This window comes from Homo sapiens, chromosome 5, assembly GCF_000001405.40.
Source record: "Homo sapiens chromosome 5, GRCh38.p14 Primary Assembly".
In the NCBI taxonomy this organism is placed as follows: Eukaryota; Metazoa; Chordata; class Mammalia; order Primates; family Hominidae; genus Homo; species Homo sapiens.
The window spans coordinates 93,703,627-93,719,845 of NC_000005.10; the positions used below are offsets into that span (position 1 = coordinate 93,703,627).

At 37.0% G+C, this 16,219-nt stretch overlaps 1 protein-coding gene across 21 annotated transcripts in view; it reads right to left on the reverse strand.

Annotated features, from left to right (window-relative positions):
• ARB2A (ARB2 cotranscriptional regulator A) overlaps positions 1 to 16,219 on the reverse strand; it is a 493,975-nt gene that overhangs the window by 85,902 nt on the left and 391,854 nt on the right. The window lies entirely within an intron of this gene.

Genomic DNA, 16,219 nt, shown 5'->3' on the forward strand with positions numbered 1-16,219 from the left:
AACTGACAGATGTGATCAAGTCACTAAATGATGTACTGTAGTTACTAGAGAAGGTATCTCTACACAAGCACCAGTGGCCGAAGGGTGGCAAGTGATGTTACATTTTGGGCAGGGATTATGCCATTTCTTTCTTCCACTTGCCCCTACATCTGGCTATTCCATCTCTGCAAGCAGTCTGGTGCCCTCAGTACCCTAATATTCTCACACTCCTTAATCCATTCCTGGAAGCCACCTTCAGTTTCATAAACATCTACCCTCAGTCTGCTATTGAAAACAGCACCCTATCAGCAGCTCTGTTTGAACACTCACTGAGACTCCTGATGTCTATCTGTCGCTCTGGAGTTGCAAAGCTGGTAGGCTCAGGATGAGCTCTCATGGGGCTGTTAAAGGTCGAGAGGCAGTAAGCTAGGCTAGTCCTTTCAAAGTGGCATCATACTGCATGATGACTCAAAATGGCTTCAAAGAAGGCAAAGGTTACCTGCTAGGGGATGTGCATCTGAGGGAAGATCAACAAAATATTAAAGATAATGATAGGTTTTCTTAAAGGTTTATTTTTACTTTTAGAAATAAGGACTGTTAAGTATGAGATGATGGGAAAGGCCAGTATGCCAACAGGAGAAATGGTTCTTTTTATTATTTCTGCCCAAGTATGTAGTGGACTTGCAACAAACTTATAACTCTTGCCTGTAATCCTAGTACTGTGAGAGGCTGAGGCGGGAGGATCACTTGACTAGCCTACAAGCATAGGGAGACTCTGTCTCTACAAAACAAAACAAAAATAAATAAAATTAGTTGGGCCTTGTGGCATGCACCTGTAGTTCCAGCTACTTGGGTGGCTGAGAGGGGAGGATCGCTTGAGCACAGGAGGTCAAGGCTGCAGTGAGACTTGATCATGCCACTGCATTCCAAACTGGGTGACAGAGCGAGACCCTGTCTCAAAACCACCCCCCAAAACAAACAAACAGAAAACCCCAAACAAGAAAAACTAGTAACCCTGGCATCACTGATTCTCTGCTACTCCCTTAGCACTGCTATTACTCTGGCTCTGCAGTGGAAAGCCTGACTGAAACATACACCTGATTTAATCACACACCATCCAATGTGTCAGTGGTACCACACGGAGTGTGTCCCCTTTGCTCTCCAGGCCACTGCTAGAACCATCAGATCTTCACTTTTTGGGGACTATTTACCCCTTTGAGAATATGAGAAGAGCTATGATTCTCCACCACATATACTAATTGTATCTAATCTACCAATTCGACACAGAATTTCAAAGGGTTCATATAACTCACTACAGCTCATCCATAAATCCCCCAGGCCTTGGGGGTATTCAAGGGCAATCAATCCTCTCGTGTTGGAAAATATCAAGATGCCTGCTTTCCTCACAGGACTGTAGGTACATAGTATAAAGACATCTGCTTTGGGTAAAGAGGGGAAGGAGAGGAGAGAGGCAAGTTTTAAAAGGAAAGTATCATTTTCCCTCAAGTTAGAAAGCATTCAGATAAAGAAAAAAGACCATTCAAATGCCAGGACTTGGATGCATGCAACATAAGTTAAATGCATGCAAGTGGGAGATTTGGCTTAATTCCAAGCACAAAATATTTCAGCTCCATGGGGAAAGTTAACCATAGGCCAAAATCTCAAGGCATATATGTAATTCACTTAGTATTTTAAAAGGTCCAATATTTTAATGTCTTAAGAAATTCTCAAACTTCCTGAAATTTTAATGGTGCAAACATTTTAAATATAGAGGGCTAGCAGTTCTTGAGAAGTATTTTGGCACAGATTTTAACGGAGATTTGTTGATCTTTTTTCAGGGACACACTGGCAAATTTAAAACATAGTTATTGAGAAGAACACCTCCCTAATTTATAACTATTTTAAGGCGCATCAGATTAAGGTCTGAAACTTCCTGACATTATGCTTCTAAATTGTAGGGTAAAGCATTTGTCCTCTTTAACTGAAGAAAAAATTGGGAAAAAATGTGTGTGTGTGTGTGTGTGTGTGTGTGTGTGTGTGTGTGTGTATATATATATATATATGTATAAAGACTTTGTATATGTGTATTCAAAAGCTCAAATTCTGGTTACCAGTCCTCCACATACACTTCAATTAAGCAACTATTGGTCAGAGAGCATAGAGTAAATGCCCTTCACTGAAAACTCAATTAAGCTTGCAGAGAAATGATTAGTAATGTCAAAAGAGAAATTTCAACTCAAATAACATTGTATTTGAGATTACTTGCTAAATTTTTAAATGGGGGTTTGGGGATTGGAAGTTCTTAACGTATAATGCCCTTTTCCCATAAACTGGCCTTTTAACCTTACATTAAAAATATGGCTAGAAAAACAGATTGATAATTCCTCAAGAAGTTAAACAGAAAATTACTATATGACCCAGCAATTCCACTTATAGGTATAGAACCCACAAAATTAAAAACAGATGTTCAAACAAACACTTATACATGAATGTTCATAGCAGCATGATTCATAGTAGCCAAAAAGTGAAAACAAGCCAAATGTCTTTCATTTGATGAATGAGCAAACTAAATGTGGTGTATCTATACAATAGAATATTATCTGGCAATAAAAAGTAATAAAGAATTGATACATACTACAACATGGTTCAGTCTTGAGAAGCTTATGCTAAATGAAAGAAGCCAGCCACAAAAAGCCACATATTCTGTGATTCAATTTATATGAAATGTTCAGAATAGCAAATGCACAGAATCACTGAAGCAAATTAGTGGTTGCCAGGGACTGAAAGGAGGAGAGAATGGTGAGTGATTGCTTTATGGGTCTAAAGTTTCTTTTTGGAGTGATGAAAATGTTCCAGAATTAAACAGTGGTGATGGCTACAACACTGCGCATATACTGGAAATTACTGAACTGTGCTCCTTTAAATGGCTACAATGGTGAATTTCATGTTATGTGTATTTCCATAAAAATTGTGGCCAGGAGGCCGGGCACGGTGGCTCACGTCTGTAATCCCAGGACTTTGGGCAGCCGAGACTGGCGCATCACAAGGTCAGGAGATTGAGACCATCCTGGCCAACATGGTGAAATCCCGTGTCTACTAAAATACAAAAAGTTAGCCAGGCGTGGTGGCTCATGCCTACAGTCCCAGCTACTCGGGAGGCTGAGGCAGGGGAATTGCTTGAACCCAGGAGGTGGATGTTGCAGTGAGCTGAGATTGCGCCACTGCACCCTAGCCTGGCAACAGAACAAGATTCCGTCAAAAAAAAAAAAAAAAGTGGCCAGGATTCTTTTTCACTTTATTTATTATGATTCTAGTAAAGAAAGACACTAATGAAATCAATTTCTACTGAAATTAAACACTGGATATGATCATAAGAGCTCTTTTTTAAACTCATAATATATCCATGTGTGTTTGAGTAGGCTGTGCCTCAATAAGTGGGAAATTAATCATCTGGATAGTTATGAATATTCTCATAAGTCTATACAGTATTTATAATTCTGGCAAAACAAGACAAGGAAAAATGGGAAAATAAACTTTCTTTGCCCAGAATTCATTGGGAGGCTGAACAAGTTTGTTTTGCTTTAGAAGTGTTGTCAACAAAATTTTACTGAAATGTAAGGATTAAATTGGCAAAAAATAAAGGATTTACTTTTTTGTATTTACTTTTCACGATGTCCAAAAGCAGCCAGGTTTTCTCGCCTACATAATACAATGCAAGATCTACTTGGTAAGATTGGGGAAGTCTGAAATGAAGTAAGTTTACCAAATATTCATAAAGCATCTAGTTATGTACTTGTACAATAATCATTATGTTACACTTAATTTTTAATATTATACTCAATTTTTTAAATTAAAAAATTCATTATTTTTTGGCATTTATTCTTTTAAAATAAGTATACAAGGGTACAAATTTCTCTGTTTAGTAATCTAGCTACACTAAAAAGTTTTTCTTTTCTTTTCTTTTTTCTTTCTTTTTTTTTTTTTTTTGAGACGGAGTCTCACACTGTCACCCAGGCTGGAGTGCAGTGGTGAGATTTCGACTCACTGCAACCTCTGCCTCCTGGGTTTGAGAAATTCTCCTGCCTCAGCCTCCCAAATAGCTGGAATTACAGATGCCCGCCCCCACGCCTGGCTAATTTTTGTATGTTTAGTAGAGAAGGGGTTTTGCCATGTTGACCAGGCTGGTCTTGTACTCCTGACCTCAGGTGATCCACCCGCCTTGGCCTCCCAAAGTGCTGGGATTACAGGGATGAGCCACCGCGCTCGACCAGTATTTTCTAAATTTCTTTGTTGATCTTTAAATTATTTGGAAGACTTTTACTTTAATCTCTTCTCTACCCATTTACTCCTTTCCTCAACTTTTATTGTAAAAATGTTTAAACGTGTAAGAGTTTCAGTAGTGCTATGAATGCCCATATGCCTTTCCCCTAGATTCAATAATTGTTAACATTTTGCCACATTCATTTCATCTCTTTCATTCCCTGTACATGTATTTTTTTTCCTCTGAATCATTTGAGAGCTACAAACAAAAATAATTTAACAACTGCACCTCATGTATTTGAATTTAATGCCAAAGTCACAAGAGTCATATTGGGATACATTTTTAAAATTATAGTCATCCACCTTCATAAAAGTTTTAAAAAGGCACTATAATTATCTTGACTTTTCTGTAAAATTCCTCACTATACTATAAGCTCTAGGAAGGCGACATGTTTTCTATTTCTTTGGTATGATAACAGTCTCATGTATGACTTTGAGTTATTGTTTCACCTTGAAGGGTCCCCTACATCAGCAGTCCCCAACCTTTTTGGCATCAGGGACTGGTTTTGTGGAAGACAATTTTTCCACACATGGGGAGTGGGGGATGGTTTCAGGATGAAACTGTTCCACCTCAGATCATCATGCGTTAGATTCTCATAAGAAGCTCAACCTAGATCCTTCGCATGTGGAGTTGACAGCAGGATTCCGCTCCTATGAGAATCTAATGCCTCTGCTGATCTGACAGGAGGCGGAGCTCAGGTGGTAATGCTGGCTCTCTGCTAACCGCTCACCTCCTGCTGTGTGACCCAGTTCCTAACAGGCCAGGGACCAGTACTGGTCCATGGCCTCTGGGTTGGGGAACCTCGCTCTGCACCTTCCAATTCATCTTCTTTTTTCCAAGTCCTGTCTTCCATAAACACACCACACATATTTATACATTTATTCCATTAGCCTTGGAATAGTTAAAGCACTTGTGTGTAACCCTCTCATCTGGGTACCTATTTTCTGCTGTAACTTGAAATTTAAATTTAAACGATATAAAGTTTAGGTATAAGATTTATTAGTTCTGGGGATCTAATGTACACTATGGTGACTGTAGTAAACTACTGTATTATATATTTGAAATTTGCTAAGAAAGTAGATGGTAAGTGTTCTTACCACCCACCCCCACCCCACCACACACACAAATGGTAACTATGTAATGGAATTAATATGGACTGATTGTGGTAATCATTTCACAAGGTATACACATGTCAATCACCATGTTGTATACCTTGAATATATACAATTTTTGTCAATTATGCCCCAATAAAGCTGAGGAACAATGCATTTTACTTGCATGCTACATTGCCTCAATGAAATCATAAGGTCCTCCAAGACAGGGTCCCAGATTTTTTTACCCCATGGTTGGTAGATACTAAAATTCTTTCTCAACTTAATTTAAATCTTCATAGTATGATATTGGTTAAAGAAAATAAATTGCAGAGGGCCAGGCGCGGTGGCTCACACCTGTAATCCCAGCACTTTGGGAGGCTGAGGAGGGTGGATCACGAGGTCAGGAGTTCGAGACAAGCCTGGCCAACATGGTGAAACCCCATCTCTATTAAAAATACAAAAATTAGCTGGGCGTGGAGGTGTGCACCTGTAATCCCAGCTACTTGGGAGGCTGAGGCAGGAGAATCGCTTGAATCCAGGAGGCGAAGGTTGCAGTGAGCCAAGATTGCACCATTGCACTCCAGCCTGGGTGACAGGGTGAGACTCTGTCACAAAAAAAAAAAAAAAAAAAAAAAAACCATAAATAAATAAATAAAAAGAAAATAAATTGCAGATTATATATATTTAGTTTTATTGTGTTACATAGAATAAGGTGCTATAAATCCATAGAAATTAGAACCATAGTCTAGTTGACAATTTATTTTTGTTCCATTGAATCTAACCTCATACATGTATACACACACATATATATGTATTTCCAACCCTATAATTTTTCAAGTGATGAAACAGACCCATAGAAGTTAAATGATTGACTTCACAGTATAAAACTTTTAAGAAGCAAAACTAAAGCTATAATTAAATGAGTTAATGCATATAAGTGCTTATACCAGGGCCTAGTTAATACAGGAAGGGCTTAAGAAATATTCTTAGCTTCAGAATCAAGGTTGTTGGATGTCTAATTCAGTGCATTTTCCAGTAAAACACATTACCTCAGAACTTTACAGTAACACAGTAAAGACAACCATTTCAGGAGCATGTTATGCATTCTTTAATGAGCAAGAGTTACACAATAAGAGATCAGCCCGAGGGTGTCATCAGAACAGGTAAACTGGTAGCCTATGGGCCCGATATAAATGGCTGCCATTTTATTTGACCCCTTTAATAGTTTAAAAATTTTTAGTTAGTTGCAACGGTTAAAATTATAGAAATGTGAAATAAATATTGAGACTTTTAACTTCTTTGGGAAAACCGGGAAATCTGACAACACTGGGCTTGCATTCCTCCATGTCACCAATCAGTTGGGGTTTGAATTTCCAACTCCTGCCCTTCTGCTAAAGTCCTGATTATGATTAATGTACAAAATGATGACTGAATCATGTAGTAAGAGCTACATCAGTCAGAAAATACTAAGTGATATTTGCTAACCATATCTAATTGCAAGCCACACACACATAGCTATTTCCTAAATTAGAAAAATTGATTGTTATAAGGAATAAAAATAAAGGTGACTGTAGTATTTAAAGGGTAACTAGAATTTAACCAGAAAATCTATTTAAAGAGATGAGCCCACTCCCTACAGTTCAGTTACATAAGGAACCAATGTATTTTTCTTTTATGGGAAAATACTGGTTCAATAACTTTGATTCATATGTTAAATAAAAACAAATGACACAACTTTATTTGGAATATTTTTTCCCTTAATTTAAATATAGCCCTTACGATCTGCAAACATTTTAGTTAGTCTGCTTTTGACCTGAACTAAGCAGCTATAAGAAAAAAAATTAAAAATAAAAATAGGTTACAACACATTAAATATCCTCCCTCTGCCACCTTACACTTTTTGGTGCTAAAACATATGCTCTGCCACCTGCAGATAAAAGTCACACACTGAGAGTGTATATTCTGACAAGAATTACTAGTTTCAAGCATGCCTGGTGATTTTGGACAGTAGCACTTAAGAAACCTTCAATCTGGCAGTTTTACCACTGCACATTTTTGAAAGCATTCCTACAGCCTAAAGTTATACAAATTTTAGGATCTGACCTTTGGGAGAAAACAAAATAAAATGAAACAAAAAGGATCCTAGGGTAGCATTTTGATCCAACTGGTTCTATTTTTTTTTTTGTTTTTTTTTTTTTGGTCACATACATATCTCCCCCCACCCCATTTCACATCTCAATGACAAGTTGCCAAGGGTGATTTGAATTTTTTAAAAAAAATTTCTGATGGGGTAAAACTCTATTGTAATATCAAGAGAACTTGTATTCCTACACACACTGGGAACATCTGTCATAAGAGTTAAAAATTATTGTTATTCCATAAAAAATTTATTTTCCTATTTTTATGTTTCCTTTACCCTCAGTTACTTTTCTGTTTTATTTTATTTGTTTGCTCTTTCATCTTGTTCCATAAAGGGTTTGGGGATGTACAAAAATGAACCCAGGCAGGACTTCCGAAGATGGCAAGTGAAGAAGTTGGCAAATCCTCTTCCACTGAACAACTAAAAAGGTGGCAAAATTGTCAAGTACAACCATTTCAGCACTCCAGAAATCAACCAAAAGCAAAAAAACAAACTGAGAAATGTTTATTCAAGGAAATCTGCTGTATTACAGGTAAGGACAGTGGCAATCTGTGGCGAGCAGCTCGGTAGCACAGCAGTGCTTCCAGAGCATGATTGGCTGTGAAAACCTGCAGCTTCGCTGCTAGAAGGGGCTGACTTGATTTACAGTAGAAGGACAGAAACCCATGCCCAATCATGTTATCCTCAAGTAAAGCAAATTCAGTGGGAAACCAACCACAAAAGCCCCGGCCCTGCTAGTCTGAGGTTGTGGTCTTGCTTGGGGCGAGCGGTAGACCAGTAGACTAGCTAGAAATTCAACAGGGAGATTCTGGAAATGAGTGAGAGGCTGAGAGACTAGATGAACTCCCGCACATTCCTAGCTGACTGAGAGGATGAGTGCTGGGACGGAAGTCCCAGGATAGCCTGGTAGAGAAGGAAAGCTAGGGCAGACTTGGAAACTTTGAATAGGCTCTGTAACTCAAACACGGATCCATCCACAGAGTCTTACTAGCTTGGGGTGATTGAACAAAAACTCTGACCATTAGGCTATGTAGGCAAAGAGGTTATTATCTAGGAGCTGACCTAAAATAAAATTAAAATTGAAAACAAAACAAAACAAAACAAAAAACCCACCAAGCTATCAACATCTACATTTTGAAGAGGGGAGTCTGCAGATTAAGTCCAGGTAAGTTTCTAAAAACAGAAGAAAACAAAAGACCAGAAGCAGCAACAAAGATCCTCAAGGCAAATGAATCAGAATCTACAGTTGCTCTCATTATTCCTGTTCAACATTGTACATGAGGTTGCAGCCAGTACAGTAAGGCAAGAAAAGAACTTAATGGCATATATATTAAGAAGGAAGATGTACACGGTTTTAGTCATAGATGTTATGGTCCTGTATGTAGAAAATCCTAAAGATTCTATTAAAAAAATCTAAAACAAGTTTTAGCTAGGTCACAAATACAGAATCAATATGCAAAAATCAATTTTAATTCTCAAACTAGCAATAAACAATTCAAAATTGAAATAAGAAAAGAATTCCACTCAAGAAATAGAGGAAATAATCTTAAAATTTATATTGAACCACAAAAGACATGGAATAGCCAAAGCCATCCCTAGCAGAAAGAACCAAACTGAAGGGATCACATTACCTGACTTCAAATTATACTACAGAGCTATAGTAACCAAAACAACATGGTACTGGCATAAAAACAGACACATAGACCAATGGAACAGAATAGAGAACCCAGAAATAAACCCATACATCTACATTGAACTCATTTTCAACAAAGGTGCCAAGAACATACACTGGGGAAAGGACAGTCTCCTCAATAAATGGTGCTGGGAAAACTGGAAATCCATATGCAGAAGAATGATACTAGACCCCTATCTGTCACCATATACAAAAATCAAATCAAAATGGATTAAAGATTTAAATCTAAGAGCCAAAACTATGAGCCTACAAAAAGAAAACATTGGGGAAAGTCTCCGGGACATTTGACAGGGAAAAGATTTCTTGAGTAATAGCTCAAAAATTCAGGCAATCAAAGCAAAAATGGACAAATGGTGTCAGATCAAGTTTAAAAGACATTGCACAGATAAGGAAACAATCAACAAAGTGACAATCCCCAGAATGGGAGAAAATATCTGCAAACTGCCCATCTGACAAGAGATTAATAAACAGAACATATAAGGAGCTCAAACAACTCATTAGGAAAAAAAAAATCTAATAATCCGATTTAAAAATGTACAAAAGATCTGAATAGACATTTCACAAAAGAAGACATACAGATGGCCAAGAGGTACATAAAAAAAAGTTCAATATCACTAATCATCAGATAAATGCAAATCAAAACTACAATGAGATATCTTACTCCAGTTAAAATGGCTCATATCCAAAAGACAGACAATAATGAATTTTGACAAGGATGTGGAGAAAGGGACACCCTTGTACATTGTTGGTGGGAATGTAAAATAACACTACCACTGTGGAGGTTCCCAAAAAACTAAAAATAGAGCTACCATATGATCTAGCAATCCCACTGCTAGGTATATGCCCCAAAGAAAGGCAGTCAGTATATTGAGGAGATATCTACACTCTCACTGTAAAAACATACTATAAAATTTTCATTGTCCATAAGATAAAAAGAAACAACTGGTGAACTGGTGAAGCACTGAATTCTAGGGAAGATTTCTCCTGTGGGTCCTCCTAAGAGAGGACCTCATGAAATATAGGGAACTACTCCCTTTAAAATAGCAGCCCTCTCCCCATGGTGAGCCCTGAATGGTTTACAGGGGTGAGGAGATAGTGATCCTCAGCCCTCAGGGGCCAATAGGACTAGGGGCAGCTAAAGCCCTGTGCCTGTGGCCTCCAGCCTTTAGTAGTTCCCTGCAACTATACTAGGATGCTGGAAAAATATATTTTTTTGTAATATGTGCCAAAAAATAAAAAGCACTTTGTCTAAAAGGTATCTGTAACATCTGTAACATGCAGTTTCATATCATTTTCTTTTAACAAGCTGATTACAAAACAGAAATACAATTCGTTAAAACATTTCTGCAAGGGCCAAAGATGTCCAGTTATTTGATGTCTGGCTTCATTTATCCCATAGTATTATATGTGGCTACTAAATGCATCTGAACTCCTTTTAGGTGGCATTTATGTTAATGAGTTTAAATTATTTATTAACAAGGTCAGCTTTATTCACCACATGACCAAGTTTGGCCAAATGGACTGGTGGTGCTGCCAGGTGCAAATATGCTTCCCAACACTTCAGAAACTCTGAAAGCCTCCCTTCTACAAATCCATTTCTTTACATGCAATTTTTAAGCTCACTGTAAGCGCAGATGAACTACACTGCATAATCACATATTCACATTACTTATTAGAAAGTGATCTTAGATTAAAAAAAATTATAGATGATTTTTAGTTTGAACCTTCTCCTTCCCCTCATTTTAAGTTAATTCCACACAGGGTGATTGTTTCTAATGTGTGTCACTGGAGTGCATTAAGATTCTACCCTTCAGAATTTTTACAAGGCATGAAATTTCAGGTAAAATTGCTGGTACTGAGACCCACCAATAAGGGCTATGGCTTATGGCTCCACATAGTCTCCTGGTCACCTGCAACTCTTACACAGGAGAATATTCCTATTGGAGCTTTCCCAATAAATATGACTTTGAAGATCTAGTCTTGATAAGTACATTATTCAATCTTTATGGTTCTTTACCCCATTAGTCATATCACTGCACCGGAGTTACACCAACTATAGACAGTAAAATCATCTTACATATTAATTTCCCATATGGCACATCAGATCCCTGCATCAAGAATTCCTGTTTTACATAAAAAATTTAGGTTCTTGCCTATATATCCACAATATTCCATTTAATTATAAAGAAATTCCATTCCTCCCTTAATTAACTTTTACTATCTATAAAAGTGAAACAAGAGGATTGTACTCTACTTATATGTACATTACAACTACTTTTGTGAAAAAAATCTACAAATACACTTTTTTTCTAAAATGTATATATAATCAAAAGAGGATTTCAGAGAAAAGTACAAACGTGAGGACAGCAAACAGGAAAAAGTAGTACGTGAGTATTTAGCACTTACGGATAGAACTTAAGCAAAAACTATAGCTAAATTTTTTTAAAGCACCTTTAAGACTCTTTATTAATTTAAAATTTATTACAAATACACAACTGCATTCTGATGCAGTCCCCTTAAGTCATCTTGTTAAATTTTGTCATAACATGTGTTACTGCAGTTCTACACTTTTACCTTTGCACTTTGTAGTGTGCAGCAGAGCACCATAATTAACCACTGGTAGGTAGTGTTTACGTTAGTTCTCAAAAGGTTAAGAAGCTGATTATAGCTAAAATCAGCTTTGCCTGAGGCTTCAGGGGCTCTGTGTAATCAAATTAGACAAGCAGGGCACAGTGTCACCTAACACAAACCAGTGGCACTTTCTTCTTTGCACTGATCCTTTCCCCCGCCTTTTTTTTTTTTTTTATTAGGGAAACAACTCATGCTTTTTGCTTTTACCAGATAATTTTGAAAGACTTGTTCCTAATAAATTTGGCACGCAATTTCCTAAGATGTCCACTTCTTTAAAAGAAATGAGAACATGTAGAGAAAATTTTGAAAAAAAAATGCTTGTTAGAAAAGAAATTTACATTTAGAGACAGATTTTTTAAAGGAAGTATTTTCACAAAAGGCAGGTGACAACATTATCACATGTACACAATATTATGGACACTTCCTAGCTTTAGACAGACTGTCAGTTTTGTTTTGCAGAAAACCACACAATGGCTTATCTGCTTCAGAGAACTTTATAAACATGATAGGTAACACATTAGCATTTCTAAGAAACCATGGGAACCCTCTCTGCTGAGTGATAGCTCATCATTTCTCCATCTCTACTCTTTGAAGCTGGGCAAGGTAAACTATATAATAGATGTATTTACGAAGGAGGTTTAATAAGGTGAAGAGAAGAGCAAACTAGTCCTACTTCAGAGACCCTCTACAAGATTCTATATTTAAATGCAGAAAGATGTATTAGCCACGTATAAATCTTGCTACCTTTGAGTCTAAAGAGAACAAAATCATGAACACTAAAGAGAATAAGAAAGAATAGCAATGGCAAATTTAAATAAAAATCTAGAATATTCTTCTCAGCAAAATTTATAAACTACTATTAAGAGATAACATTTATTACATCTTTATCTTCCTGTATTTGACTTTGAACTTTTGGTTCAAGTTCTACATATTTATTACTTTGCTTGAAATACAGAAGCAAAATGAATGTAAACATCCTACAAATGAGTGATCAAGAGAAAATGAGTTTTGCTAATGATTTATTCTGAGCAATAAAATCAAAACTTGTTATTTTAATTGATTAAGTCATAAAGAGTTCCTGGAAAAGTCAAATCTTGCTATTTGCACAGTCAGACAATTTCTGCTAAACCAGCAGTACTTAACAAATTCACATGTGGTTAGTTTGTCTTGCCATAGCTGTATATCACATTTCTGTACTATAAGCTGTGCAAAAAAAAAAAAAAAAAAAAAAAAATCAATATGCCAAGTTTAACAAAAGGACAGGAAACATGATGTTCTCCTATATTTTCAATCAACCTCAAATGACTCTGCTGTTCATACTCAGTACAATTTATGGCTGAGAAATGTATTCTTCAATTGAAAAAAAATCTACAATGGAATGAATTATATAAATTCAGAGTTGAAGTTCTGCCTTATTCCATAATAACAATTTATTTAGAAGATTCTGACATTCTGATTCAATGTGCATAGTATAATCAGCCATTCAGAGGCATATTTTTTTTTCTTGATGAAGGATGAAGTACTACTGTATATTCTTTAGATCAAAGAATGTATACTATTTATGATAATACTTTGATATACATATTTAATTTAGGTTTTGGAGACTTTTTTTCTAATTTCTCTTTTCATATGTGAAATATATGATGAGATGGTATCTATTGAGCAAATGCTTTAAAGTATAACACAAAGAAAAAAATCCCAGTGGATCCTGAGCTACTGCATTGGTTAATTGATTCTAGATTTTACATCGTCTTTTACTGCTGCAGAAGTACATTATGTGTGGAAGTAGATTAGGATGAAAATGCTGAGAATGAGGTAGGAGTGGTCATGACCAATAGGTCAGCACCAAGCGGTGCCACTTCTGCCTTCTCAACTCAGCGCTGTGGAACTGTGTGTGGCAAAACAACCAGAAAGTTGGAGTTCAGCCAAACTATTCAGAACTGTTACCACAGTTGCTTTTTTTTTTTTTTTTTTTTAAAGTAAAGGAAGAGTTGGCTTTGGAATCTTTAAAAGGGCCATATACATAGAAAAGAGAAAAGTGCAACAATACACATACGCAGAGGAATTTATTTACACTTGTGAAAAATTCTTTGGTAATTTCTCTTCATTCTAATAACCAGAGGTAAATGGATTAATGACAGCTGAAAAAAGTATGTTACTGATGAGTACTGAAGGTATAAACCGTGATATAAAACATACTCAGAGAACTGCACTTGTTCCTAACTTTCTATTAATATGTCATTTATAAGACGAATTTCACTCGTAGATTAAGGCAGCATTTAAAAAAGAATAGGCATAAATTCCTGATATTAATGTTGCTATAAATGATTATTTCTGTATAATTCATATTCTTTTTTTTTTTTTTTTTGAGACGGAGTCTCGCTCTGTCACACAGGCTGGAGTGCAGTGGCATGATCTTGGCTAACTGCAACCTCCACCTCCCGGATTCAAGCGATTCTCCTGCCTCAGCCTCCTGAGTAGCTGGGATTACAGGTGCGCACCACCATGCCCGGCTAAGTTTTGTATTTTTAGTAGAGACGGGGTTTCACCATGTTGGTCAGGCTGGTCTCGAACTCCTGACCTCGCGATCCACCCACCTCAGCTTCCCAAGTGCTGGGACAGGAGTGAACCACCCCGCCTGGCCAATATTCTTATTTCAAAATAGAGTATGACTCGGCTGGGCGCGGTGGCTCACACCTGTAATCCCAGCACTTTGGGAGGCCGAGGTGGGCAGATCACGAGGTCAAGAGATCGAGACCATCCTCGCTAACATGGTGAAACCCCTACCAAAAATACAAAACAAAATTAGCCAGGTGTGTTGGCGGGTGCCTGTAGTCCCAGCTACTCGGGAGGCTGAGGCAGGAGAATGGCGTGAACCCGGGAGGCAGAGTTTGCAGTGAGCCGAGATTGTGCCACTGCTCCAGCCTGGGCAATGGAGCGAGACTCCGTCTCAGCAAAAAAAAAAGTATGGCTCAGAATAGTGATAGGAAGTTTTTTGTATCCAAAACTCAGAATAACAGAACGTGGAGAAAAAATATATCAAGGCATACAAATCATAATGTAATGTATGTTAAAGTAGACTCTTTAATGTCTGCAACTACATTAACAGTCATACATAATCCCCAGTTACTTGTAAGGCCCTAATATATAATTTGTTCCCAGGAAATGAAAGACTTATCACTTCTGAAAAATGTCTAATTGTAACAACAACAACAACAACAACGTCTGTCCATTTTACTTCTAAGGAGTGGCTTCCTAATGAGAAGTCATACCTTAACATGTTACTGATTTTTGGCTAAAGAGTGATTCAGATTATTTTTCTACCTTTATTTATTTAATGTTTCCTAGCTTTTTTCTCATCTCTCTAAAGGTTCTTTGGTAGTACCTCTTTCTATTTCACTGGAAACCATCTATTAATGAGATTTCCCTATCACTTTACTGCCAATAAATCAAACCTACTGATTCACTCCTGATGCAGATGCCTGATTTCCATTCTTTAGGCAACACTGACAGCTCTCTCTTGGATGTCTTCTGTAGACATCCTATCATTTCTTTAAACTCAATGGGTGGAGCTCATCTTAACTTTTTCTAGCACTCCTTCATTTTTGCAGCATCACTGGATATCCTCACTTCTTGCCTGCCCACACAGGAGATTTCTCCATAACTTTTATATTCCTTAAAATGTCAAAACCTTCATAAAATTATCCTGAGTTTTCTACCATGGCTGTTGTCTGTAGGCCAAAATAAACCAGCTGTTACAAGCTGAAACATTTGATCTGTTTGAGCTCCTAGGCTATAGGGTGCTTATTTAATTCTGTCTGAATTAAAGCATTAGAAAAGAATCTTAGAGCTGGAAAGTATAGAAATCATCTACCTAACCATCTAATATTTAAAAGATTACAGATCCAGAGACGTTCAACTGGCCCGAAGCCACATATAGGTTAGTCATTCTCATCTTTTTGCACTCACCATGTGCTTTTTTAGTCCTCTGCAATTATTATGCTCCTCAAAACAGAACTGGGGAGAACAATCAATTAAATTTGCCACAGATAACATTTCTACCACTTCCAGCCAGCATATTCCTTCTATTTTTACTATTATATCTTCCATGCACTTTTTCACCACATCTCAAGGTGATGATTCTCTGATTCTCCCTTTCTTATCTGCCTGTTAAAACATGTGTGCTAGGCTCTTATGCTTACAAGCTGCTGTGATCACATTATTTCCTTGCAGAAACTGCTTATTAAGTCAAAATGAACATTTCCAAATATCCATCTACTATCTATCTCCAAAACCTAAAATTTTAGCATCTCATGTTTCCTATCTGTTTGGTTCCCTTCCTTTAAGTAATACAGATAGAA